General features: G+C 52.5%; 2 protein-coding genes across 3 annotated transcripts in view, besides 5 other annotated features; both read right to left on the bottom strand.

Moving 5' to 3' along the window:
• Positions 1 to 9,681, bottom strand: part of AP1M1 (adaptor related protein complex 1 subunit mu 1) — a 47,996-nt gene extending 38,315 nt beyond the window's left edge. For both annotated transcript variants that reach the window (NM_001130524.2, NM_032493.4), the window contains exons 1-3: positions 9,524 to 9,681; positions 3,977 to 4,133; positions 1,184 to 1,251 (exon numbers count right to left, since the gene is read on the bottom strand). In NM_001130524.2, coding sequence (NP_001123996.1) covers positions 1,184 to 1,251; positions 3,977 to 4,133; positions 9,524 to 9,565 — 267 coding nt within the window. In that variant the 5' untranslated portion in view covers positions 9,566 to 9,681. The remainder of the gene's footprint in view (positions 1 to 1,183; positions 1,252 to 3,976; positions 4,134 to 9,523) is intronic.
• Positions 3,015 to 3,164: a silencer, noted in NCBI's record as "fragment chr19:16315239-16315388 (GRCh37/hg19 assembly coordinates)". NCBI's record gives its function as "represses an EF-1alpha promoter that drives an FKBP-Casp9 reporter gene in an ReSE screen in K562 erythroleukemia cells {active_cell/tissue: K562}" and the evidence as "EXISTENCE:reporter gene assay evidence [ECO:0000049][PMID:32094911]".
• Positions 9,298 to 9,537: a silencer, noted in NCBI's record as "silent region_10292". NCBI's record gives its function as "represses an Ori minimal core promoter by ATAC-STARR-seq in GM12878 lymphoblastoid cells {active_cell/tissue: GM12878}" and the evidence as "EXISTENCE:reporter gene assay evidence [ECO:0000049][PMID:35858748]".
• A 5,864-nt stretch (positions 9,682 to 15,545) lies between the features above and the next one.
• On the bottom strand, positions 15,546 to 22,182 carry FAM32A (family with sequence similarity 32 member A). The gene is made up of 4 exons (NM_014077.4): positions 22,076 to 22,182; positions 21,827 to 21,968; positions 17,019 to 17,072; positions 15,546 to 16,705 (listed from the first exon to the last, which is right to left on the bottom strand). The coding sequence occupies exons 1-4, from the start codon at positions 22,147 to 22,149 to the stop codon at positions 16,637 to 16,639; spliced, it is 339 nt and encodes a 112-aa protein (NP_054796.1). The 5' UTR covers positions 22,150 to 22,182; the 3' UTR covers positions 15,546 to 16,636.
• Positions 22,540 to 23,175: an enhancer, noted in NCBI's record as "H3K4me1 hESC enhancer chr19:16295228-16295863 (GRCh37/hg19 assembly coordinates)". NCBI's record gives its function as "activates a minimal SCP1, AML or CMV promoter by ChIP-STARR-seq in primed H9 embryonic stem cells {active_cell/tissue: H9 hESC(primed)}" and the evidence as "EXISTENCE:reporter gene assay evidence [ECO:0000049][PMID:30033119]".
• Positions 22,588 to 22,637: an enhancer, noted in NCBI's record as "active region_14217". NCBI's record gives its function as "activates an Ori minimal core promoter by ATAC-STARR-seq in GM12878 lymphoblastoid cells {active_cell/tissue: GM12878}" and the evidence as "EXISTENCE:reporter gene assay evidence [ECO:0000049][PMID:35858748]".
• Positions 24,399 to 24,898: an enhancer, noted in NCBI's record as "H3K4me1 hESC enhancer chr19:16293505-16294004 (GRCh37/hg19 assembly coordinates)". NCBI's record gives its function as "activates a minimal SCP1, AML or CMV promoter by ChIP-STARR-seq in naive H9 embryonic stem cells {active_cell/tissue: H9 hESC(naive)}" and the evidence as "EXISTENCE:reporter gene assay evidence [ECO:0000049][PMID:30033119]".

Below are 26,059 nucleotides of genomic sequence, written 5' to 3'. Positions count from 1 at the left end.
GAAGGGACGCCAAAGAAGAGGGGCTGTTAGAAGCACTTTTGCAGGCACAAATGCTGAAGGAAGGAGCGTCACTAAAACAGAAAGGCACAGCCCAACCCTTGGGTGAGGACCTTCCCCTTCCCGCATCCCCCATTCTCTGATCTGCTGACCCCTGCGCGCTTCAGGACTGTGATCACCCGGCCTCTGCTTGGAAACCACAGGCAGCACAGCCAGGCCCAGCCCTGCCTGTGACAGCATCACCGGTCCAGTGAAGGCAGCCCTTGGCCTGCACGTGGGGCCTTCCCAGGTGACCCTCGGCTCCTTCCCCAAGCCCTCACCGCCCAGGCTTGCCCCTGTTCCCCAACATTCTGCACAGGCAGCATCAGTGAGGGATGAAAGCTTTCCCAGGCCCAGCACAGGCCTCCTGGGTCCTGTTCCCCACTTTCGTGAGCCCCACAGCCCACCTCGGCCAGGCCCATCCTCTCCGGGAAGCCAGCAGCAGCCTCCTCACTGGCCTCAAGTCCTCCTTCTGCTCAGCAGCCAGAGAGGCTGCTTTAGATCAAACCACGTCTTGTCAGTCTCCTGCTTAAAGCCCTCCACTACCTTTCATCAGAAGTGGAATGAAATCCACACTCCTGTATAATCCGCCCTCTTCCCAGCTGACCTCAGCCTCATACTCTGCCACACGCACGCTGGCCTCCCTAGCTGCACCACACATACACCTGTCCTGGCGCCTTCACCCTGGCTGCTATCTGTGTCTCACTGGCAGCCTGGGCCTGGCGTGTCAGCTCTCTCCAAGGTGGGCGTCAGGCATCTGTGCCTTGAGAGCCCCCTGGGAGATTCTGAGGTGGGCTCAGCTCTGCAGCTCTGCTGGTTATTCCAGCCCCATCCAGCTGGTCACCCCACATCCTTCCAAAGCTCGCTGACCCCTGCTTGTCCCTTCCAGGGTCAGGGCACCCCTGCTCTGAGCCCTACCTTTTCCTGTTCACTTTCCTTTCTTCCCCACGGTAGGGGAGCAACGTGAGCTATAGAATTCCACAGGCGTGGGGAGTTGGGACTCCCCTTTCCCACTTCCTGGGCTTCCAGCCCCAGTGCTCCCTGGGGATGCCACAGCTCTCTGTAGGGTGGCCAGGTATGGGGAGGTCCACAAGCAGAGCCAAGACAACCTCCACCCAAGCCCACGGCCCCTCCGAGCGAGACTCACCTGCACCACCTTATAGAGGAAAGAAAAGACCAGCGACACGCACGCGTTCTTCTTGGATGTGGCAACCACTGCATGGCGGCCACAGTTAAGGAGCATTCAGAGGCTGGGGCTGCTGCCTGGAAGATCCTGGTTCATGGAGGGACCCCCTAACCCTCACAACCCTCAGAGCCTTCCCTATCCCCACTCCCAGCCGTTTACTTGGCCCATGGTGGGCTACAAAGCTCCTGGTCCAAGCTAGACCTGGGACACAGGAGTCACCAGCCAGATGCGCTCCCAGGCCCCAGGGAGCACTCACTGAGATGGAGAATCACAGGGATGGCAGGTGGCACAGGGCACCTGTCCCGGCGGCTGGGTGAAGGGCTGCCTTGAGCAGGGAGGGAGTGAGGCTCATTCCAGGAGCAGAAAGCAGGACACACTGGCCCTGCTCCTCCAAAGCTGACCTCATCATGACCCTGCTGAGGTCCAGGGTCCCCCGGCCAGACTCTGTGGCAAGCAGCCAGGGCCAATTCTGGCTTCAGCCCTTCCTGGCTTTGGAAACACAAGCCTTGGCCCATGAAATAAACCTTTCTAGAGAAACCTTGATATTTCTCTCCTGTGTAATGGAGGCCTGTGAATGAACTCACCAAGGCAATGTAGGTGAGATGTCTGGCACAGATGTTCCCTTCTGCCACAGGAGCCAGCCCCTGCCTCCCAGGGTCAGTGTGTGCTGGGCGCTTCCTATTCCTTTTTCCCTAATGGGTCCCCGGGCCGCCAGAGAAGGCTGGTTCTTCCTCTGTAGGCCCATGCACTGCACCCTGGACATCCCTGTTCATGGCACATCTGTGCTGCCTGGCTCGTCTGCCCAGGAGTGAGCTCTAGGAGGGAGGGTGGGGGCTGTATCCTCTCCCTTCCCGCCTCACCCCAGCACAGCACAGGGGCCCAGGAAAGGGACGCTGGCCCAGTCAAACGAGTGCTGGCCTCCCTCCTGCTGCCTGGCAATGTGCCCTCCCCAGATGCTTTATAAGCAGGGGCAGTGGGGGCCTCTCACCTTCTCATGGGTGCCTCTCAGCCACGGCCTTGCTGAGCACTGTCCCGGCTGGGGGTGAAACGATGTCCACTAAGCCAGAGGGGTGAGCCCTCCCTGTCTCTTCCCTAGATGCCCAGGTGTGAAATGTGGGGGCCCAACCAGAAACTGATCTGATGGCTCCTGCTGAGCTCAGACCACAGCCACCTCTCCCTCTCCCAATACCTGGGCGGCTTCAGAGGACTGTCAGTTCCCTGGGTTAAAAGCCACCTAGGCCGGGCACGGTGGCTCACGACTGTAATCCCAGCATTTTGGGAGGCTGAGGCGGGCGGATCACGAGGTCAGGAGATCGAGACCATCCTGGCTAACATGGTGAAACCCTGTCTCTACTAAAAAAATACAAAAAAATTAGCTGGGCGTGGTGGCGGGCGCCTGTAGTCCCAGCTACTCGGGAGGCTGAGGCAGGAGAATAGCGCGAACCCGGGAGGCGGAGCTTGCAGTGAGCCCAGATGGCGCCACTGCACTCCAGCCTGGGCGACAGAGCGAGACTCTGTCTCAAAAAAAAAAAAAAAGCCACCTAAGATCATCTTCAGAGCTATTCTCAGGGCCTTCCAGAGCCAGGTGAAATCTACACAGAGGCACACCACAGGGAGCCCTGGGCCAGCACGGCCCACATGGGAATGTGCACACCGGCCACCAGGAACAAATCTTCCTACAATGCAGATTCTGACGGGGCAGGGCTGGGTGGAGCCTGGGATTCTGCATTTCCAAAGGGCTCCCAGCGGATATTCTGGCCCGTTGGCCACACTGTACTGGCAAGGCCCCAAGTGTCTCCAAGAACACAGGAAAGGGCACAGAGCCCATGCCTGCTGGGAGCAATATGCACAAGTCAGTTCAACTGACCCGAATGGTCCTGCAGTGAGGGGTCGTTGTTCCCACTGAACTGTGGGAAGGTGAGGGATCCCCCATGGCTGCTGGAGCTGGGGCTCAAACGGGCTGTGAGTGGCAAAGCAGGCCCTTCCGCAGTAGTGTGGGTACTGAGATGGGCTTGCGGGTCTGCCCAAAGCTGTGGGGTGGCCAGTTAGACCTCCTGGATAGAAACTGGCTTGGCCAAGTCTCCCCATGGGCCCAAGGACAGGAAGGGTGGGGGGCTCTGAGATCTGGGCGGGGCTGTACCCCACCACCCCTCCGTGGTCCAGGCCACTTCCCCTCCCACCTGCACGATGGCCCCAGCCTACTCCCCACCTACCCATGTCCTCTCCTGTCCCCACAGTCTTGCCCCACTCAGCAGCCAGAAACCTCCAGAAGACACACATCTAAAAGCCTCCAGAGACTTCCTGTCACATTTCAGATGATGTTCTTTGAGACCCCAGACCCCGCTGACCACTCCAGCCTCGCTGCCCTACACGCCCCCTCTCCAGCCACCCCGAGTGCAGCTGTTGGAATGAGGCTCTTCCCTGCAGAGCCTTCACCCACGCCTAGTGCCTGCCCACCCCTCCAGCTGGCAGAAGCCAGGCCTCCCTGCAGGCTTCCTCCAGGGTGTCATTTCCCTTCCTGGGCCCCTGGGCTGAAGAGGTTCAAGTCACACCTGCTCCTCTCCCCACACCCATCACACATGTCATCGTGCATTGTCTGCCTGTCTCCGCAGGCAGCAGGGAGCTCCAGGAGGGCATGGCTGTGTCCAATGCTTGCGCTGTGCACAAACCAGCCCTGCTTGCAGGCGTGTGGATATGCACACACACCAACACCCACACAGGAGTCCCCTGGGAGCACCCCCAGCAAAGGGATACGATACAGGTTGTTGTGTTTGATCCACATGAAACGGACCCCCCCGTGGGCCAGGATGGGCGACAGCATCCCCTCCTCCTCCTTCTCCATCAGGATGGGCATGAAGTGCTCCACCTCTGACATGTCCACGTCGCCACGGTAGTTCCGGCAGATGAGCACCTGGGGTGGGGAAGGAAGAGAAAAGATGCTTGCATTTTCAGTTCTACAATCTGGGGGCTTGGGGCAGGGGGTGAGATGCACCACCCTGCTTCGCTCTGGGGACTCCGGTCATGGCCACTATCCGCAAAAGAGCAGGACTTGAGGCCGTTCTGATCTCCATCCCCCAGGGAATTCCTGGAGAAGAGCATCTCCCAGTGTGAATGCCCACAGGGGCCACTGCAGTTCTTCGCAGGGTGAGGGTAGAGGCGAACTCTGCAGCAAAGGTCCAGGACTGAATCACCCAGAGACATCAGGTTAAGCAATGCCTCACAAGCTCTCAATGCAGACCTTCTCAGAGCCTTTGCCGGGCCAACGCACCTTGCTCTCCCGCCTGTGTCAGGGCGCCCACTCCCGCTGAAGGTTCGTATTTACTGAAGTCCACAGGTGGCCTGAAGGGAGAAGCCCTCTTCCTGGTCTCTCTCTTTCATAGCCTGTGGGTCAGGATATACAGCATCCAGAACCCCTGTCCACTGCTGATAGGAATGGAAAATGGGACAACTACTTTGGTGTAGTCTGGCAGTTTCTCAAAAAGTGAAACCCAGAGTTACCATACGATCCAGTCATTCCTCTCTCTGGTATTTACCCAAGAGAAATGAAACCACATGTCTGCACAAACACTAGCACGAGAATCTTAACAGCAGCTTTAATTGAAACAGACCCAGACTAGAAACAATGCCAATGTCCTTCAGCAGGTGAACTAGAAACAAACTGTATCCGTGCACACCATGAGAAGCATGCCTCAGCAACGGAAGGGATCGGACTCCCGATACACAGGCGCATCAGAATCACTGTGCTGGCTGAGAGAAACCAGACAAACGAGAGCTCATCCTGCATGACTGCACGTGTATAAAATCCTAGAAAATGGTGATGAAAAACACATCGGTGGGTGCCTAGGGATGGGGCTAGACAGCAAAGGGGTGTGAAGAAGCTTTCGGGGGCGATGGAATGTGTGGTTATGGCTTCCCACATGACTGAGCTCATCAAATTGTACACTTTAGATAAGTGCAGGTTATTAATGTAAATTATACCTCATTAAAGAATAAAAAGGAGGTCGGAAGTTTTGCTAGCCTGGGCATGGCTGCGGTTGGAGATGCTGCCTGGAGCAGCTGCAGCTCTTGGGGCCTGCAGGACAGCCAGCTGCAGGACTCAGCAACATGCTGAGAAGGCCATTGCGGCGCTGACCATCCTGGGAACCACCTGCCTCAGAACTTGGCATTTCATCACACGCTGCCTTTATTCTCTCAAGGCGAGACTGGGGGTGGTGCGGGGTGGCACCTTCCTTTCCTAGTGTCTGCTTCGTGGCCTGTGGAACTGATTGGAGGGAGGCAGGTGATGACGTGTTGAGGGAACAGCCCCTCCCCCTGCTGTCACTCTTGACCCCCCAGGTCCTTCCTCACAAAGGGTGACAGGGCTCTTCCTACACAGAAGCCAGACGGGGTCTCTCCCCCACTGCTGAACTGCCACTTACCCCAGCCTCCCCGGCACTGAGAACAAAGCCCAAGCCCGTCCCCATGGCTCCCAAGGACCAGCGTGGTCTGGCTCCTCACAGCCCCTCTGACGCCTCTCTGCCTGCGCTGCCCTGGTTCACTCTGCTCCAGCCTGGCCCCTTAGCTGGTCTCTGAGTGATCCACATCTGTTCCCACCTCGGGCCTTTGCCCTGACCTGGCTCTTCTCATTTCTCAAGCCTCAGCTCAAATAACACCTCCTCTAGGAAGTCCTCCCAGCTGGGCGCGGTGGCTCACGCCTGTAATCCCAGCACTTTGGGAGGCTGAGGCAGGCGGATCATCTGAAGTCAGGAGTTTGAGACCAGCCTGACCAATATGGTGAAACCCTGTCTCTACTAAAAATACAAAATTAGCCAGGCGTGGTGGTGCATGCCTGTAGTCCCAGCTACTTGGGAGGCTGAGGCAGGAGAATCACTTGAACCTGGGAGGCAGAGGTTGCAGTGAGCCGAGATTGTGCCATTGCACTCCAGCTTGGCTGACAGAACGTAACTCCATCTCAAAAAAAAAAAAAAAAAAAAAAAAAAAAGAAATCCTCCCTGCTTGCTCTGGCTGAGATCATGTCCCATCCCTCTGAACCCTGACCCCTGCTTTATCCCTATCACCTGGTGCATTAAACATTTATTTCTATCCTCCTTTACTGTCTGACATCCCCTGAGAACAGCAACTACTCCTGTCTCATTCACAGCTGTTTTCCAGCACCCAGAAAGGGGCCTGGACCATAGTAGGTGCTCAGTAAACATTTGTGGAGTGAAAACAGGGGTGAGGAGACAAAGGAGGCGAGGATAACGTCCAGGTCTCTTGTGCAGATGGCTGAATGGGTGATGGCATCACTGAAATGGAAAGAGAGCAGGTACAGGGAGTGCATTTAGAAGAATGCTGAATTTATGGTGGCGGCGGGACCTCTCTGGTGTCTCAGAGGCCACTAGATCTCCAGAGAAATGCTGTGAACAAAATTGAGAGTCACTGGCCCATGGACATGAGTCAAAGCCCACCTGGGAAGAGTGACAGCATGGGGAGGCACGCGTAGGCCTGAGCCGCTCCACAGCCCTGGGGAGGGCAGAAAAGGAGGAAAGTAGGCAGTGCAAGAAACAGGAGGAAACCCCCCAGAGCGCAGCCTCCTGGAAGCGGAAGGGAGCACTGAAGAGGAGGTGGTTAGTGGTGTCAGAAGCTGCTGAGAAGCCAGTTAGATAAAGCGGAGAAGCTTCCTACTAGGACAGCTTCCTCCCAGCCCAGTGTGGCCACGCTGGTGTCCTCGGTGACCAGACACGTGGCCATGAATTTCTCAGTGTGCTTTATTGTTGATTAAATGCAGTCGGCTCACGAGGCTGACTTTGGAAACAGGAGGTCCGTGGGTCGTGGAATAAGAAAGGGCATCATGGTTGCAGAGGAAGGGAAGGAAGCCCACGGCTGCCTTGGGGAGCTTTCTGAAAGGCAGGTCTGATCATGCCTCTCTGGGCTACGGTCTCCTCACGGTGGCTCCTGGTTGGAACTGAAGTGGTCCCCTTGGTCCCTCTCTCCCATCTCAGCATTAGCCAGGACTTCTGGCTTGGCAGCCCCAGCAGGCTGCCCCTTGCAACACCTCTTTTCCACATGATCGTGCCTTCCAAACCTACTTCCAGCGTCGCCCTCTTCAGGGAGCCTTTCATAACCACCTCCCCCTTCCACTGGCTAAAGATGAGGTTGAGCAACTGCAGGACTTGGGACCTTGTTCCTGCCCCTGTGGCTGCCTGGATCCAACTGTGTGGTAATGTCTCTGCTTCTAGGTGACTCCCCTGCTAGACCGAGAGGCCTGGGAGAGCTAACATGGACCATGGGTGGTGCTGAGCCTGTCTCATGCATCTGCTCAGCAAATCTGCACAATAACTCCATAAAAGCCTCTTTTGACCAGTGAGGAAAGTGAGGCTCAGACAGGAGAAGGTGCCTGTCCCAGGTCACACAGCTGAGCAGCAGGGATGGGTTTTGAGCTCACCCCTAACACCACAGCCATGGCGCCAATGGACACCCTATGCCCGGCATAGGGCAGGGTGCATGCTAGGTGCTCATGAAATGTTTGCTGAAGGAATAAGCAAGCCAAGACAGGCAGCCCACTGGCACCTCTGGGGAGGCAGTGGCCAGGGTGGAAGCAAGACTCATTCCACCAGGACTCATTCCACCGCACCACCCAGCCCCTGGCGTGCTCTAAGACGGGTGTCTTCCCTCCTTCCAAGAAGGCGGGGGAGGGAAGCCCAGCACTGGGTCTCACCAGTTGTTGACTTTGGGTGGCTTCCAGAGCAGGCACCCACTCAAGGGACTTCAGGAAAGTGCTGGGGGTGGGGTGGGGCGGGAAGGGGCAGCCATTTCACCTCTTCACTCTCAGCTGCTTTAGGGCTCACCCCTGCCCGCCTCACCTAGGACCTGACACCCATGTTTGTTTCTCTCACTGATCAATGTTGGGCTTCACATTGTTGGACCGGTTCTTGTTGCTTCCACATGCAACAGGCCAGGCAGCCACCTGCCTTGCACCTGGGATGGACTTAGGAGAAGGCAGAGGACCATTTCTAAAAGGTGGGGACAATCCCTTCTTAAAGTTTTCTCAGATCCTCTGGGGAAGATGCCTGGGTTCTAGTTTATGTCCAGCTCCCTGGTGTCTCTGGTCCATTTGTCACCCCTCCTCAGGGAAACCCTCTCTCATCCTCGGGCTGAGGCTGACTGTCTGTATAACACACTCGCCCCTCAACACCACTGCAATTGACATTTATTTGTGTTTTTGGAGATGGGTATCCATCTCCCCTACCAGCCTGTGAACACCGTAAGAACACAGATTGTTGAGCCCTGGCACATGACTCACACCTGTAATCCCAGCACTTTGGGAGGCTAAGACAGGTGGATCACTCGAGGTCAAGAGTTCGAGACCAGCCTGGTCAACATGGTGAAACCCTGCCTCTACTAAAAATACAAAATTTAGCTCGGCGTAGTGGCAGGTGCCTGTAATCCCAGCTACTTGGGAGGCTGAGGCAGGAAAATTGCTTGAACCCGGGAGGCGGAGGTTGCAGTGAGTGGAGATTGCACCACTACACTCCAGACTGGACGACTGAGCATGACACTATCTCAAAAACAAAACAAAAAAAAAGGGACTGTTTTTTGCTAAACACAAATCGACCCCAGGCTTAGTACCCTGCCCGGCATTAGTAGGTGCTCCCCAGATATCAGCTGAATAAACGAATGATTCTGGATCGGACTCCTAGACTTGCTACTTCTCTGTGACCATTGTGACCTTGGTCAGGTTGCTTCACCTCTCCATGCCTCAGTTTCTCCCTCTATAAAACGGCACTCGTGATCACCACTCACCTCACCTAATCCTTGTAACTCACTATCACAATGAACGTGGAGAAATTCCTACTGAGAGAAAGTGCACGATAAACAGAAGCTGTAACGCCCTGAGAAGGCGGGACTGGCTCGAGAGCACCCAGTCCCCGCCACGCCTCGCCACCCCCGGCCAAGGGTCGCGCAGCCCCTGGACGCCCTGCCTGGCTCCGAGGCCGGCTGCGGCCCCGCTTCTGGGTCCTCCACCGAGGCCCGAGCCCCCGGCCCCGGCGCCGGGGAGCAGAGGGCGGTGCAGTCAGTTACCTGGCAACGCGGTGGCTGCAGCCCACCGCGTTACGTAGCAACAGGGCGGGGATTACCCACTTAAGACCCCCGCCCGGTTACCCAGAAACAGGATGGGGCTCTCAGGTGAGGTCTACCGGCCTCTCTGCCTCACACCAGGATGGGGCTCATAAGCCGGTTACCTAGCAACAGGGTGGGTCCCCGCGGGCGGAGGCCCCTGCCGGTTGCCTGGCAACAGGGAGGGTGGGGAGCCCTCAGTACCTTGCCCTTCAGGTCCAGCACGTAGACGGCGCTGGCGGACATGATGGCTGCAGGAGGCCTCGGCAGCGGCCGAGGGCGGTGGCGGCGGCAGCGACGGTGGGGACTGCTGGGCGTTGAGCAAGGCCGGGCGCCGCCCGCGACAGCTCACCTCCACTTCCGGTTCGGGGAGCCGCGCGGGGACCGTTATGTCCGGTCCGGGAGGTGCTGTCAGGAATGCGCAGGCGCAGGACGGACTGTGCGCAGGCGCATTACGTCGTATGTAACCATGTTTCTTGCTCCCGCCAGAAGCATCCCGGAAGTAAGGCCCGGTGGGGCGGGGCCGACCAAATCAGGGCACCCAGTGGCCGCTGCCAGGCTGAGCTATGGAGCCAGAGCAGCTGGAAACGGCCTCCCGTGGGCCGAGTTAGGCGAGAGAGCCTGGTGGTGAAACCGACCTGGGGCCCAGCCCTATGGAGCTCACAGTCTGGTGGGGAAGTCTATGAAACAAGTGTACAGTCACCAATTGTGATAAGCTCAAAAGAGAGAGGTAAGGTCGTGGTTACTTGGAAAGAGGTCAAACAAACTTTCTGAATGGCAATCAAACCTTATCAACAGTCACCACCTGTCATTGTCAACATTTATCAATGAATGAGTGTGCCTGTTTATTGCCTGGAATGTTATGAAAACCAGCCTCACTGAACCTTGACCCAACATACCGTGTTTCATTTCTGCAAAGTTAGTAATCAGTAATGCAACTGGTGGCCCTTGATTAATCCATTGAGTCATATTTAATTTGCTTTTATGAACTCTTGGGCTTTGGAGAAATGCCTGCATTCTGTTCCAGTTAGCCATCATAGTACCCTGGGGATCCCAACCCTGCAATACCAGAGTGATTTACCCAGGATGCCTGCCTCTCACATCTTTTATTTTCTGTCTTATCTCCGTTTTGGCGTTTGGAAAGATGATTTTTGCAACTCGGTAATTATATAGTGTTTTGCTTAGGAAAGAAATGTGACCGAAACTCTAGAGAAGCAAACTAGAATGTTTGAAGACTGCTAAGTGACTCCTGGGCTGGAAGGATTCTTGCTCAAGGCACAGAGCAAGCAGCCAAGAGAGGGTTTTTGTTGTTTGCTTTTTTTTTTTTTTTTTTTTTTGAGATGGAGTCTCACTCTGTCACCCAGGCTGGAGTGCAATGGCATGATCTCGGCTCACTGCAACCTCTGCCTCCTGGGTTCAAGTGATTCTCTTGTGTGTCAGCCTCTCAAGTGGCTGGGATTACAGGCATGTGCCACCACACCTAGCTAATTTTTGTATTTTTAGTAGAGACGTGGTTTCACCATGTTGGCCAGGCTTGTCTCAAACTCCTGACCTCACGTGATCCACCCACCTCGGCCTCCCAAAGTGCTGGGATTACAAGGGTTAAGTTAAATATTAAAAGATAAGAGAGCCAGTGCCCTTATACAAAGGCTGGGATGTAACAAAAGCCCACCCAGAGTTGTGCCTAGGCCTTTCCTGGGCCTTGAAGCATGACAAGATAATGAAGGAATTCTTAACAGGACCCTTTTAGGATTAAACAAGCTTTATTGGCGGTCTGAAGAAACTCCTCAGGCCTCCACAAACAAGTTTATTGGGGTTTGAAGGAACTCCCCCAAACCTCCATGATTTAGCAGGAGATAAGATAAGGGTAATCACCCCAGCACCTGGACCCACTTAGATTAAGTAAATTTACTGAGGCTCCAGAGGAAGGTCTTCAGGACTCAGATCTTAGTTATGGGTTAAAAGACTATAACTTACTTACGTCTTTAGATGAATGCACACCTACACGTAGACATATAGCTTAGAAGGTATATGAGCTCTGGAAGACTTTGTAATTTTGGGTTGGTCTGGTGATATTTTCCAGGCCTTCTCCCTGTAACCAGTTACAGAAATAAAAACTCTCTTCCTCCCTAGTTCATCTGTGTCTCATTATTGGGCTGTGAGATATAGAAGCCCAACCCTCAGTTTGGTCTGGGAATAGGTTAGGAGTGGGGGTCTCAAAAGCCCCCCCAATACAACACACACAATAAGAACCACTGAGGCCTGAAAGCCATGTATAGAGATTTTGTTTTAATTGGTCTGGGCCAGGGTTTGGTTATTGGGATTTTTCTTTTTTTTAATTTTTTTTTTGAGACAGAGTCTCACTCTGTCACCAGGCTGGCATGCAGTGACACGATCTCGGCTCACTGCAACCTCTGCCTTCCAGGTTCAAGTGATTCTCCTGCCTCAGCCTCCCAAGTAGCTGGAACTATAGGTGCCTGCCACCATGCCCAGCTAATTTTTGTATTTTTAGTAGAGACGGGGTTTCACCATGTTGGCTAGGATGGTCTTGATCTCTTGACCTTGTGATCCGCCCGCCCCACCTCCCAAAGTGCTGGGATTACAGGTGTGAGTCACCGCGCCTGGCCTTCTTTTCCTTTCTTTTTTTTTTTTTTTGAGGCACGGTCTTATCCTGTCACCAGGCTGGAGTGCACTGGTGCAATCTCGGCTCACTGCAACCTTCACCTCCTTGGCTCAGCTGGGACTACAGATGCACACCATCAAGGCCAGCTAATTCTGGTTTTTTGTTTTTTTTTTTGAAACAGGGTCTCGCTCTGTCACCCAGGCCGGAGTGCAGTGGTGCAATCTCAGCAGCTCATTGCAACTTCTGCCTCCTGGGTTCAAGCGATCCTCCAACCTTAGCCTCCTGAGTAGCTGGGACTACAGATGTGTGCCACCAGGCCCAGATCAGTTTTTGTATTTTTAGTAAAGATGGGGTTTCACTATGTTGGCCAGGCTTAATTTTGCGATTTTTGTACAGATGGGGTTTCCCCATGTTGCCCAGGCTGGTCTCAAACACCTCGGCTCAAGTGATCTGCTCGCCTTGGCCTCCCAAAGTGCTGGGATTAAAGGCATGAGCCACTGCGCCCAGCCTGGTTATTGGGATTTTTTTCCAAGCTCCCCAGATGATGCTAATAGGAAACAAAATTTGAGAAACCCTGGTGTATCATAATAGGTATGATCTTTCTTTCTTTTTTTATTTTATCTTTTTGAGACTGAGTCTCAAATAAAAAAAAAAAAAAAGTTGCTTGGTTCTATGGCTCATGCCTGTAATCCCAGCACTTTGGGAGACAGAGACAGGAGGATCACTTGAGCCCAGGAGTTTCAGACTAGCCTGGGGAACATGATGAAACCCCATCTCTACAAAAAATACAAAAATTAGCTGAGTGTGGTGGCACACACTTGTAGTCCCAGCTACTTGGGAGGCTGAAACAGAAGAATCACTTGAACCTGGGAGGTTGACAAGGCTGCAGTGAGCTATAGTGGCATCACTGTACTCCAGCCTGGGCAACAGAGTAAGATCTCTAAAACATTACAATAAATGGGGCAAAATATGAGACTAGGTCCAACAGGGTTTGTTACATATCGCGTCTATTTCTGTTAACTCTTGGTGAACAGACCCTGATGTTCTTCCTGAGCAGTGGGAAGTCACAGCTGTGGCCGGGCTTGGTGGCTGACACCCACAATCCCAACACTTTGGGAGGCCGAGGCAGGAGGATCACTTGAGGTTGAGGCCAGTAGTTTGAGACCTGGGCAACATAGGGAGACCCTATCTCTACAAAGAGATAAATAAATCAGCTGGGTATGGTGATGTACACTTGTGATCCCAGCTACTCAGGAGGTCGAGGTGGGAGGATCACTTCAGCCTGGGAGGTCAAAGCTGCAGTGAGCCGTGATCACACCACTGCACTCCAGCCTGGGCAAGAGAATGAGACCCCATCTCAAAATAATAATAATGGTAATAATAATAGTCCTGACATCTCATCGGATTCCTTCTAGAGCTTAATCACTGGGCAATTAGTATCAAAAGCCTCTCTTGGCTGGGCATGGTGGTTCACGCCTGTAATCGCAGCACTTTGGGAGGCCGAGGCAGGTGGATCACCTGAGGTCAGGAGAGTTTGAGACCAGCCTGGCCAACATACCGAAACCCTGTCTCTACTAGAAATACAAAAATTAGCCGGGCACGGTGGTGCATGCCTGGAATCCCAGCTACTCCAGAGGCTGAGAGGCAGGAGAATTGCTTGAACCCGGGAGGCAGAGTTGCAGTGAGCCGAGATCGCACCAATGCACTCCAGCCTGGGCAATGAGCGAAATGCCATCTCCAAAAAAAAAAAAAAAATTAACCACTTAGTCAGTACTTAAACAGTCATTATGAAGGCCGGAGGCCTGCATTAGTGAGACCTGGCCTGCCACAACACTCCCTACACACAATAAGAATCTCTGTTCTCCAGGCTCGCTTTGAACTCCTGGGCTCAGGCAACCCTCCAGCCTCAGCCTCCTGAGCAGCTGGGATTACATTTGCATACGTCGCACTGTGCCTGGCACCAGAACTTGGCGGTTTTTAATGCTCCCCAGGTGATTCTAATGTAAATTTGAGGACAGCGGTGGTGGACTGTAAGGGTATTGGATCCCAGTAAACCACACCTCCTAGTGTTCATGCCCTTGTGGAGTTCCCTGCCAGACTCCGGGTTTGGCTAGGTGGCTTGTTTTGGCCGCTGAAATAGGCTATGTAGGCCGGGCGTGGTGGCTGATGTCTGTAATCCCAGCACTTTGGGAGGCTGAGGCAGGCGACTCACTTGAGGTCAGGAGTTCGAGAGCAGCCTGGCCAACATGGTAAAACCCTGTCTTTACTAACATACAAAAATTAGCCGGGCGTGGTGGTGGGTGCCTGCAATTCCAGCTACTCAGGAGGCTGAGGCAGGAGAGTCACTTGAACCAGGGAGGCGGAGGTTGCAGTGAGCTGAGATCGCACCACTGCACTCCAGCCTGAGCGACACAGCGAGACTCTGTCTCAAAATAAATAAATAAATATAATAATAATAATAACAACAATAATAAAGAAATAGGCTTTGTGGAGGGAGATCCTGGAGGGTGAGATGCCACCCTGGACTTTCTGGCCCCGGGAAAGCCAACACAACTAAATGAGTGAACTGAACCACACTCCATGGAACAGAATCCTCCAGCCTAGCACAGTCAAGCCAGAGTTGTGATAATAAATAAAGTTTTGGCCGGGTGTGGTGGCTCACACCTATAATCCTAGCACTTTGGGAGGCTGAGGCAGGTGGATCAAGAGGTCAAGAGATCGAAACCATCCCGGCCAAAACGGTGAAACCCTGTTGCTACTAAAAATACAAAAATTAGCTGGGCGTGGTGGCACGCACCTATAATCCCAGCTACTTGGGAGGCTGAGGCAGGAGAATTGCTTGAACCCGGGAGGTGGAGGTTGCAGGGAGCCGAGATCGCGTCATTGCACTGCAGCCTGGGCAACAGAGCAAGACTCCATCTCAAAAAAATAAAATAAAATAAAATAAAATAAAATAAAAATACATTTTTGTTGTTTTAAGCCACTGCCTTTTGGAGCCGTTTGTTATGCAGGGAAAGAGCTGAAATAACTACCTTTCCACTATACTAATAAAGGGTTTCCACAGTAGTACATAATGCAGACTCCTGCTGCTAGCTTGTGGAAGGAAAAGGTCTGAAACTGTCTTTCCACCAGGCCATGGGAGAATCACTGGCAAAAGCCACTGCTAATGAGAGTGTGTGTCATCTCTCTTAGGTGTGAACCATAGGCGGGAACAGATGTGCCATCGAAATTTTTCCACCTGAGTTGCCGTTTTCCAGTATGAATATTTTTCTGTGCCACAAATCCAAAAGACATTTTGGTGACAAACAGCCTATAAGAGGACACTCAGCACTTTGGGAGGCTGAGGCGGCAGATCACTTGAGGTCAGGAGTTCGAGATCAGCCTGGCCAATATGGAAAAATCCCGTTTCTAACTAAAAATACAAAAATTAGCCAGGCGTAGTCGCGGTTGCCTGTAGTCCCAGCTACTTGGGAGGCTGAGGCAGGAGAATCACTTGAACCTGGGAAGTGGAGGTTGCAGTGAGCCAAGATTATGCCACTGCACTCCAGCCTGGGCAAGAGAGTGAAACTCTGTCTGGGAAAAAAAAAAAGAAGACACTCAGACTTACAATAACTGACTTTTGCTTTATTGTGTAATTTACACAGGACAACCCCAAATTCCACACTTCGTTTTTCTCTTCTGCCTTCATTATTCTTTCAATATCTACGTCAACAGAAATCGTTTCTCCCAATAACATATGTGGTTTGATCCTCAGCCAGGACGCACAGGCCCTACAAGATCCCAGCCCTCCAACACGGACACCTGGACCCTCCCATTTGACTGCAGCCTTGTCTGTTTGTACCGGGGCTCTGCCCTGGTCCTGTCACCCCTGAGACGTCCGTAAGGTAGGAATGCCAAACAGGATCTGTGTGATGTGTCAACTCTGAGTAAATACAAGAGGCTGCTAGGAGCCCCCAGCTGAGGATTGAGAGGCAGGCTGTGTCTGGTTCCATTTCAAAGAATGCTGTGATGCATTAGCAGCGTCTGCTATGGCAACACCCATTAGAAGCACCTGGAAGGGGGGTTTTGGGAAACGGGCTCAGAAAGGAGCAAGGTGTGTCCGTTCCATTCTTGCCTTAGGTGGCTGTTCCGTTACCCAGGCTATGCTGTCTCAGTGGCCAGGTGGCTGAGGAGGAAGTCTGAAGGCCGCATAGTTGCAAGTGGCTTCCCTAGGGCCTGCAGGGGACAGCATAGGCCCAAAGCTAGAGGAAGCTTGGAAGGGCGCCCACGCTGGGTCCTGCGGGGCTCTGCATACTGCAGGCCACCATGGCGCTAGCTCCTTACCCTCTGGAGTCTGTCTCATCCAGGAGAAGACAGCTGGCTGGCCTCAGAGCGTTACATGCAACTCGGGTGAAAACATTTTTACATGACACAGACACACAATGGGCTTTACCTCTGGATAAACTTAGAAACTTTCCATCCAAACGAAAAGGGTGTATCTTCTGTATGTTGCCAAGAAGCCTAAACTGAGTACAAGGACGATCTTACTTTAATCAAGTTCCAGAATGAGGGTACACAGCTTCGAAAAGCAGTCTGTAGCAGAAGATGCAAGGGTGTGTGTAGCCATGTTTCCAGAATATACCAAAGGAAACACACACAACCCCAGTGTGGCCTTTTGCGAACCCTCGATGCTGCTCCATACTGGGGGCAGGCGGCTACTTCGTCCAGCTGACTTTGGGAATGTCGTAATGCTCCGTGAGTGTGTCCAGGTGTCTGTTGAAGTCCTGGGGAGGTGGAGTAGAAGGCCGGTGTCAGCGCAGACCCAAGTGGGGTACTGGGGAGAAGTGGCACTGCCCAGCCCCACCTCTCCCACATCCTATCTCTCCTGAGCCCCCTCCTCTCAAACTCACCCTGCCAGGTCTTACAGACTCCTGAACCCTGGGCTCCCCTTTGAATAACCCTGGGGAAGTGTCACTTCTATTAGGTAAACTTCCCTTCTCGTCAACATGCCAACAGCTCCCTCTGCCAGCTGATAGCCTCTGGGCCCAGCTGGGACCCTGAATGGCTCAGTCTCCCCCACTGGACACGGCGACTCACCTCCACTCTCTGCTTGTGGGTTTTGGATGCCTTCTTTAGGATCCTTTCCATTTGCTGGAGAGAGAAGAGACATGGAGGTGAGTTTACAGGCTCAACACAGCCCAGGCTGGCATGGGGTGGAAGATGGAGCCTGGCCAGACTGGCTCTCACATTTAGAACAGCTGGAGGTTTCAGGCTCTGTGCCTTGTCCCCCTCCCTCAACTCCACCCAGGCTGGTCCAACAGGGAACCCAGGTCACTTGCCAGCTTCGTGAGTGGCAGGAAATGAACCAGCAATGCCTGAGCGCGTACCCATGAGCAGACTCTGCTGGGAGCTGTCGGCATGCTTCCTGCATCCTGAGGAGGCTGTTAGCACTCCCAGTTTGGAGGAAAACAAAGTCCCAGAGCGGGTTTCAGGAATGATGAGAAAGAGAGAGGTAAAGGGTCTGACATAGAGCAGGTGCTCAAGTGACACTTCCCATCCTGATGTTAGGGCTACAAGACCAGGATCACCATCCCCAGGGTTATTCTGAAATATGCCTCCTGCACCATGACCTGCTCTGATCCTCACTTCAAACACTCAATGACACCTGGAAAGGTCAGTATCTGGTAGCAGCTGGGAGTGTGGGCTGGGCGCGGTGGCTCATGCCTGTAATCCCAGCACTTTGGGAGGCTAAGGCAGGAGGATAGCTTGAGCCCAGGAGTTCAAGACTAGCCTGGGCAACATAAGGAGACCCCAACTCTACAAGAAAATCAGCTGATTTTGGTGGTGCACACCTGTGGTCCCAGCTACTCAAGAGGCTGGGGTGAGAGGACTGCTTGACCCAGGAGGTTGAGGCTGCAGTGAGCTATGATCACACCAATGCACTCCAGCCTGGGTGACAGAGAGAGAGACCCTGTCAAAAAAAAAAAAAAAAAAAAAAAAAAGAGTTGGAGTGTGGGATATAAAGCCAGACAGATCTGAGGCCACACCTGGCTCCACACTTCCTGGCTGGGTGACTGTGGCCCACTCTTTGGTGGCCCCTATAACTGTGCTGCCTATGATTCATCCCTTGTGCAGTCCCCATGCCACACTGACTCTGACCTGGCCGTGGACTCAGTTAACTCGAAGGAACACAGTACCAGTTCTGGGTCCATGCATAAGACCTGGCAGCATTAGCTTTGTGCCCTTGGAAGCCAGTTGCTGTGCAGGAAGTCTGATGGCCCTGCTGGAAAGAAAGGACCTGGAAGATGAGATGACATGAAGGAAGAGGCCACGAAAGAAGCACTGAGAGGTGGGGCATGGCGGCTCATGTCTGTAATCTCAGCACTTTGGGAGGCCAAGGTGGGAGGATCACTTGAGGCCAGGAGTTTGAGACCAGCCTGGCCAACATGGTGAAACCCCGTCTCTACTAAAAATACAAAAATTAGCCAGGTGTGGTGGCATGCGCCTGTAGTCCCGGCTACTTGGGAGGCTGAGGCAGGAGAATAGCTTGAACCCGGGAGGTGGAGGTTACAGTGAGCTGAGATCTTGCCATTGCACTCCAGCCTGGGCAACAGAACGAGACTGTCTCAAAAAAAAAAAAAAAAAAAAAAAGAAGCACTGAGGCACCAGCTATATGGCGACAAAGCCATCTTAGATGCTGCAGCCCAGCTGCACCTTCAGAGACTCCAGGCCCAGCTGCCATCTGACCACACCAGACTCCAAGTGAGGTCAGACCCTGCTAAGCCCAGTCAACCCAGAGCATCATGAGATATTATTGGTAGGGGCCACCTGGCTGCTCCTCTCTGTCCCCCCCTTCTCCTTCATTCCCTCACCTCCTGTGTCCAGTCAGCCCTCACCTGGCTGATTCTCCCTCTAAGGCGAGTGCCCTGCCCATCTCTGTCCCTCTTCCTGCTGCTGTGAGCCCAGCCAAAGCCTGTGTCTCCCTGTGAGAAGCCACACTGACTTGTCCAGCTGCCACACAATGCCAGGCACCTGGCTGGGCTCTGCCCACAGGCGTGACACCCAGCTACTATTTTAGTTTTTGAAGAGACAGGGTATCGCTATGTTGCCCAGGCTAGTCCTGAACTCCTGGGCTCAACTGATCTTCCCACATCGGCCTCCCAAAATGTTGGGATTACAGGCATGAGCCACTGTGCCTGGCTGACTCCACTTGGATTTCTACTGGGGCACTGCATTTACCTTCTTTAAAACTATAGCTTTGGTTCCCCCTCCCTCAACTCCCACTCCAGAAAACCTGCTTTACCTGCAATCCTTCCCACCCCAGTAAACAGCACCTTCATTCATCAAACTGCCCAGCCCAAAGTCTTGGTCATCCTTGACTCTTCTTTCTTTCCCAGCTTACATCCAACCCAACAGCTAACCCTGAATTCATCCTTGAAAACCTATTCCAAACCTGTTACCTTCCACTGGCTCCATCACGACTGCTCTACTCTGAGCTCCCATTATTAGTCTCTTAATAGCTGCCTAAGTCTCGCATAAGTCTCATTCTGGCTTCCAGCAATAAAATCTCAGCCCTGCCTCTGACTACAACCTCAGGGTTAGAAGGGAAAGAAATGCATTTACTTGGCCAGGCATGGTGGTTCACGCCTGTAATCCCAGCACTTTGGGAGGCTGAGGCGGGTGAATCACTTGAGGTCAGGAGAGCGAGACCAGCCTGGCCAACATGGTGAAACCCCGTCTCTACTAAAAATACAAAAATTAGCTGGGCATGGTGGTGGGCGCCTGTAGTCCCAGCTACTCAGGAGGCTAAGGCAGGAGAATCGCTTGAACCCAGGAGGCAGAGGTTGCAGTGAGCTGAGATCATACCAATGCACTCCAGCCTGGACAACAGAGCGAGGCTTTTTCAAAAAATTAAAAAAAGGCCGGGCGTGGTGGCTCACGCCTGTAATCCCAGCAATTTGGGAGGCTGAAGCAGGCGGATCACCTGAGGTCAGGGGTTCAAGAACAGCCTGGCTAACGTGGTGGAACTCCATCTCTACTAAAAATACAAAAAAATTAGATGGGCGTCGTGGCAGGCGCCTGTAATCCCAGCTACTCAGGAGGCTGAGGCAGGAGAATCGCTTGAACCCCGGAGGCGGAGGTTGCAGTGAGCCGAGATCGAGCCACTGCATTCCAGCCTCGGTGACAGAGCCAGACTGAGTCTCACTGAGACGGAGTCTCACTCTGTTGCCAGCCTGGAGTGCAGTGACGTGATCTCGGCTCGCTGCAACCTCTGCCTCCCGGGTACTGGTTCAAGCAATCCTCCTGCCTCAGCCTCCCAAGTAGCTGGGATTACAGGTGTGTGCCACCATGCCCGGCTAATTTTTGTATTTTTAGTAGAGACAGGGTTTCACCATGTTGGCCAGGCTGGTCTTGAACTCCTGACTTCGTGATCCGCCCGCCTGACTTGTTAAATCCTTACCACAACCCTGTGAGGCAGACTTTAGTGCTACTTTAAGTAATAGGTAGCCGGCTTGCCCAGGGTCACACCACTAATTTGTGGTAGAGGCAGAGTCAAACTCAGGTCTGTCATGCCAGAGGTAGTGCATCCATGTGTTTTCTGTATGCCTGAATTAGATCTGGGAGTAAGGAGTTAATTGTCCCCAAGGTCCATTTTCCCCAGTGTCACCGTACAGAATCACCTAGACCAGGGTTAGGGTTTCTCAGCCTCAGTGCTACTGACATTTGGAGCCGGATCACTCTTTGCTGCGGCAGGCTGTCCTGTGTATCGCAGGGTGTGTGGTGTCATCCCTGGCCTCTAGCCACTAGTTGCCAGTAGTCCCCACCCCAACCCAGTTGAGAACCAAAAATGTTTCCAGACATTGCCACATGTGCTTCGGGGTGGGAGTTTAGGGGGGTGGAGACTACCCCCAGGTGAGAATCACTGACCTACACTGATTATTCCCTCTCCCCAGCATAATGGACCCAGTTTCTGTCTTACTGTGAACTCTTCTGTTCTCCACTGCACACATTTATGGTGTTAAGAAAAAATAATTTATCGGAGCCTTATAATACAATACAAACAAAGTCGTCATGGGCATGGCCATTCAATATCAACAGCTGAGACTGGGTGCGGTGGCTCACGCCTGTAATCCCAGCACTTTGGGAAGCTGAGGCGGGCGGATCACTTGAGATCAGAAGTTCGAGATCAGCCTGGCCAACATGGTGAAACCGCATCTCTACGAAAAATACCAAAATTAGCCAGGTGTGGTGGCGGGCGCCTGCAATCCCAGCTACTCGGGAGGCTGAGGCAGGAGAATTGCTTGAACCCCGGAGGCAGAGGCTGCAGTGCTCTGACCCCGCCAAAAATAACTAATTTTTTAAAAAATACAGCATGTTTGAATCTGCCAAACAAAGTTGTCTTGGAAACAAACTTTGTGGTGACTTCGAGCGGCGAGCATGGCCATTTAATATCAAGAGCTGGCATCCACTGAACATGTATGCACTGCTTTTTACTTTCATGACTTCCTCTCAAGTTCCCAACCCTCTTAGAATAAGTTACTACCCTGACTCGTACAGAAGAGGAAACTTGAGGCACGGAAATAAGAAAGTCACTGGCCTAGTGTCGCAGGGCAAATAAGCCACAGCACTGGAATCCAAACCCGGGTCTCCAGCTCTGGCCTCCTTTCAACGCCAGTTCTAGCTCTCCCCTCTGCTGCCCACTCGGGCCAGCGGGGTCTTCTCATCCTTGGAGCTCCCCCGGCAGAGGGCGACTCTTCTCTCACTCACGTACAGCATCCTCTCCCCGTAATTAAGGTCTCCTCTGACCGCTCCCCTGCCCTCGGAGCGTCCCAGCCCTGACCCCAATTTCCAGTCTCCCGGCGCCGGGTGTTCCCGCCTCCCCGCCGCCTTCTGCTTCTGCTCACCCGCTTCTCCTGCATTTTCTCGAAGGCCGCCTGGGCCGGGGTCCGCTTGTCCAGGCCGCGCCGCTTCTCCTCCTCGTTCTTTTTGCTCGTTCCCATTGCTTCCAGGAGTTTCGCTTTGTCTTTGTCCTTCTTTTTCTTCTTCCTGGAAAAAGACATGAGGAGGCGGCGGGTCGGAGGATCAGGGCCAGGGGTCCCGAGAAAAGGTCTAAGGGGGATGAAGACGGAATCCCGCGGGCCCTCGGGCCTCACCGCTTGGTCACTCCCAGCTCTGCGACGCCTTTCAGCTTCAGGGGTCCCTTTTGGACCTGCTCGTAGGCCTCCATGACACTCTCCAGTGCTTCGGTAGCTGGAGTGCCACACTTCCTGTTTGCAAACACTATTTCCGCCCGAATGGCCGCCTCGCTTCTCTTTGATTGGCTGAGCTACAAGGTGAGCATGCGCTCTTGGTTCTGGACCCGGGCCACACTTCCGGGTAGTGGGCGGGACAGAGAGCCAAGCGAATGAGTGCCCTTCGATTCCTATCTGCTGCCACACTTCCGAATTTGGCGCCCACTTCCGGTCTCCCATTCTTCACACAGGGTGCTGGAAACCCAACCCCTTTTTGAGCGTTTTGCGCACTTTTGGGTGACCTGTTCTCTCTCCTTGATTTTTTTTTCTTTTTTAGAGACACGATCTTGGTCTGTCACCTAGGCTGGAGTGGAGTGGCGCGATCGTGGCTCACTGCAGCCTTGAACCCTTGGGCTCAAGAGATCCTCCCGCCTCAGCCTCCCCAGTAGCAGACTGCAGACGGGCGCCACTGAGCGCGGCTAATATTTTCATTTAAATTTTTTTGTCGAGATGGGGTCTCGCTGTGTTGTCCAGGCTGGTCTCGAACTCGTGGGTTCAAGTGATCCTCCTGCTTCGGCCTTCCAAAGCGCAGGGATCACAGGCCTGAGCCACGCCCCACCACCCCCGTTCTCTTTTATTGCCATATTTTGAGCGTTCACTGGATAGCTGAACCTAATTTTGTAAACCTAATCAGTATTCATTAATTTTTCAGCTTTAGGTAAATGACAATATCATGTGACAAGGTTGGTGGTATGTTAAAACAATTAAAAATCTATTTTATGCCGGGCGCGGTGGCTCACGCCTGTAATCCCAGCACTTTGGGAAAACGAGGTGGGCGGATCACGAGGTCAGGAGATGGAGACCATTCTGGCTAACACGGTGAAACCCCGTCTCTACTAAAAATACAAAAAATTACCTGGGCGTGGTGGCGGGCGCCTGTAGTCTCAGCTACTCGGGAGGCTGAGGCAGGAGAATCGCTTGAACCCGGGAGGCGGAGGTTGCAGTGAGCTGAAATCACACCACTGCACTCCAGCCTGGGCGACAGAGAGAGACTCCATCTCAAAAAAAAAGTACATATATATTTAAATCAGCACTTTGGGAGACCAAGGTAGGCGGTTCACGTGAGGTCAGGTGTTGGAAACCAGCGTGGCCAACATGGCGAAACCCTGTATCTACTAAAACAAAACAAAACAAAACACAAAAAGCAAAAATTAGCTGGGCATAGTAGCCTGCGCTTGTAGTCTCAGCTACTTGGTAGGCTGAGGCAGGAGAAGCGCTTGAACCCGGGAGTCGGAGGTTGCAGTGAGCCAAAATCGCACCACTGCACTCCAGCCTGGTCAACAGACAAAGACTCCGTCTCAAAAAAAAAAAAAAAAAAAAAAAATCAATAGAGATAGGGTATTGCTGTGTTGTCCAGGTTGGTCTCAAACTCCTGTCCTCAAGCAGTCCTCCTGAAGCATTAGAATTACAGGCGTGAGCCACCACCCCTGGCCCTTTCTTTCTTTCTTTTCATCCTTTCAGTACTGTGCGGTTTTCTTACATACGATGTGTACATGCATATATCTTTTTTTTTTTTTTTGAGACAGAGTCTCGCTCTGTTGCCCAGGCTGGAATGCAGTGGCACGATTTTGGCTCACTGCAACTTCCACCTCCCAGGTTCAAGAGATTCTCCTGCTTCAGCCTCCTGAGTAGCTGGGATTACAGGCGCCCACCACCATGCCCCGCTAATTTTTGTATTTTTAGTAGAGATAGGGTTTTGCCATGTTGTCCAGGCTGGTTTCGAACTCCTGAACTCAGGTGATCCGCCTGCCTCAGCCTCCCAAAGTGCTGGGATTACAGGCGTGAGCCACCGTGCCCGGCCCTTGAATATATCTTTTTAATGTCAGCAGAGGACTATCGGAATTTTTGGTTTCTTCTCTATTTCCCTCTGTATCAAAAACCTAGTAAAAAAAAAAACTATTATGGGAAAAATTTAAAAAGGCTGTGCCTACCAAGTATCTGTGAAGATGTGTTGAAACTGGAACTCAAACGTGCTGCTGTTGTGAATGTAAAATGGCATAAACAGTTTAGAAATCAGTCTGACAGTTCTTTAAAAGATTAAGCATTCACTTATACTATGACAAAAGAATTAGATTCCTACGTTTTAACCCAAGTGAAATGAAAGTATAGACCCATATAAAATTGTGTAAATGAATGTTCACTGCAGATTTATTTGTAATAGCCAACAAATTAGAAACAGCCCTAATACTGCCCTAGATAAATGAATGAACACAATCCGTGCCCACAAATCTTGGCTGACTTTTGCAACCAATGGAATTACTAGGTCCAAGGTTATGCACGTTTGCACGTTTTATTTCTCATAGATTTTGTCCAAATTGTGCCAGGGTGGCTTTTTTTTTTTAATTGCTGGCGGGGGGTGGGGTAGTGGGGAGAAGGCAAAGGAGGTGGAGAAGAGAGAAGCAAACGTCCCCAAATCTACCGGACACAAGAAAAAGGAGGGCACAGGGGCTGCCTTTCTCAGTCTTACCTGCAGGGGGCAGCAAGTCACTGCCTAATTATCCGTCCACACCTGGAAAAGACTGTGCAGAGGGGCTTCTGGTACCAGGGGATGGGGGCTGCCAGCACTTTTGTGTCAAAAGCAAGGCGATCTTTTTGCCGGGCGCGGTGGCTCACACCTGTAATCCCAGCACTTTGGGAGGCCGAGGCGGGCGGCTCACGAGGTCAGGAGATGGAGACCATCTTGGCCAACATGGTGAAACCCCGTCTCTACTAAAAATAAAAAAAATTAGCCGGGCGTGGTGGCGCGAGCCTGTAATCCCAGCTGCTCAGGAGGCTTGAGGCGGAGAATCACTTGAACCCGGGAGGCGGAGGTTGCAGTGAGCGGAGATCGTGCCACTGCACTCCGCCCTGGCGACAGAGCAAGACTCCGTCTCAAAAAAAAAAAAAAAAAAAAAAAAGAAAAGAAAAAAATTAGCCGGATGTGGCGGGGCACACCTGCGGTCTCAGCTCCTCGGGAGGCTAAGGCAGGAGGATCACTTGAGCCTGGGTGTAGGTGTTCGAGGGTGCAGTGATTTAGGATCTTGATTGATGCACTCTAGCTTGGGCACTAGAGCAAGACCCTATCTCAAAAAAAAAAAAAAAAAAAAAAAGGAAAAGAAAATGATTATGTTGAGTCTTGAATACAAATTAAAAAAAAACTACAAAAAAAGAAAAAGAAATAGTAACGTGCCAATGTTAAATTCTTAGTAGTGCTAAATATGCTGTGGTTGTGTAAGATGTTAACATTAGAGCCGGGCTCAGTGGCTCACACCTGTAATCCCAGCACTTTGGGAGCCGAGGCGGGTGGATCATTTGAAGTCAGGAGTTTGAGACTAGCCTGGCCAACATGATGAAACTGCGCCTCTACTGAAAATACAAAAATTAGCCAGGCGTAGTGACGCACACCTGTAGCCCCAGCTACTGGGTAGGCTGAGGCAGGAGAATCGCTTGAACCCAGGAGGCAGAGGTTGCAGTGAGCCGAGATTTTGCCATTTGCTATTTCACTCCAGCGTGGGTGACACGGTGAGACTACATCTCAAAAATAAATAAATAAATAAATAACAAAAAAAAAAAACCATTAGAGGAAGCAGGTCAAAAGGGTTATGGGAGCTGTCTGTATCATCCTTGCACTTAAATTAAATTAGTTAATTTGTTTATTGAAATGGAGTCTCACTCTGTCACCCAGGCTGGAGTGCAGTGGCACGATCTTGGCTCACTGCAACCTCGACCTCCCAGGTTCAGGCAATTCTCCTGCCTCAGCCCCTGCAGTAGGTGGGATTACACACATGTGCCACCACATCCGGCTATTTTTTTTTTTTTTTTTTGAGACAGAGTCTTGCTCTGTCATCCAGGCCGGAGTGCAGCAGC

The sequence above is a fragment of the Homo sapiens genome, chromosome 19, assembly GCF_000001405.40.
Source record: "Homo sapiens chromosome 19, GRCh38.p14 Primary Assembly".
Classification (NCBI taxonomy): domain Eukaryota; kingdom Metazoa; phylum Chordata; class Mammalia; order Primates; family Hominidae; genus Homo; species Homo sapiens.
This window is presented reverse-complemented; position numbering and strand designations above follow the sequence as displayed.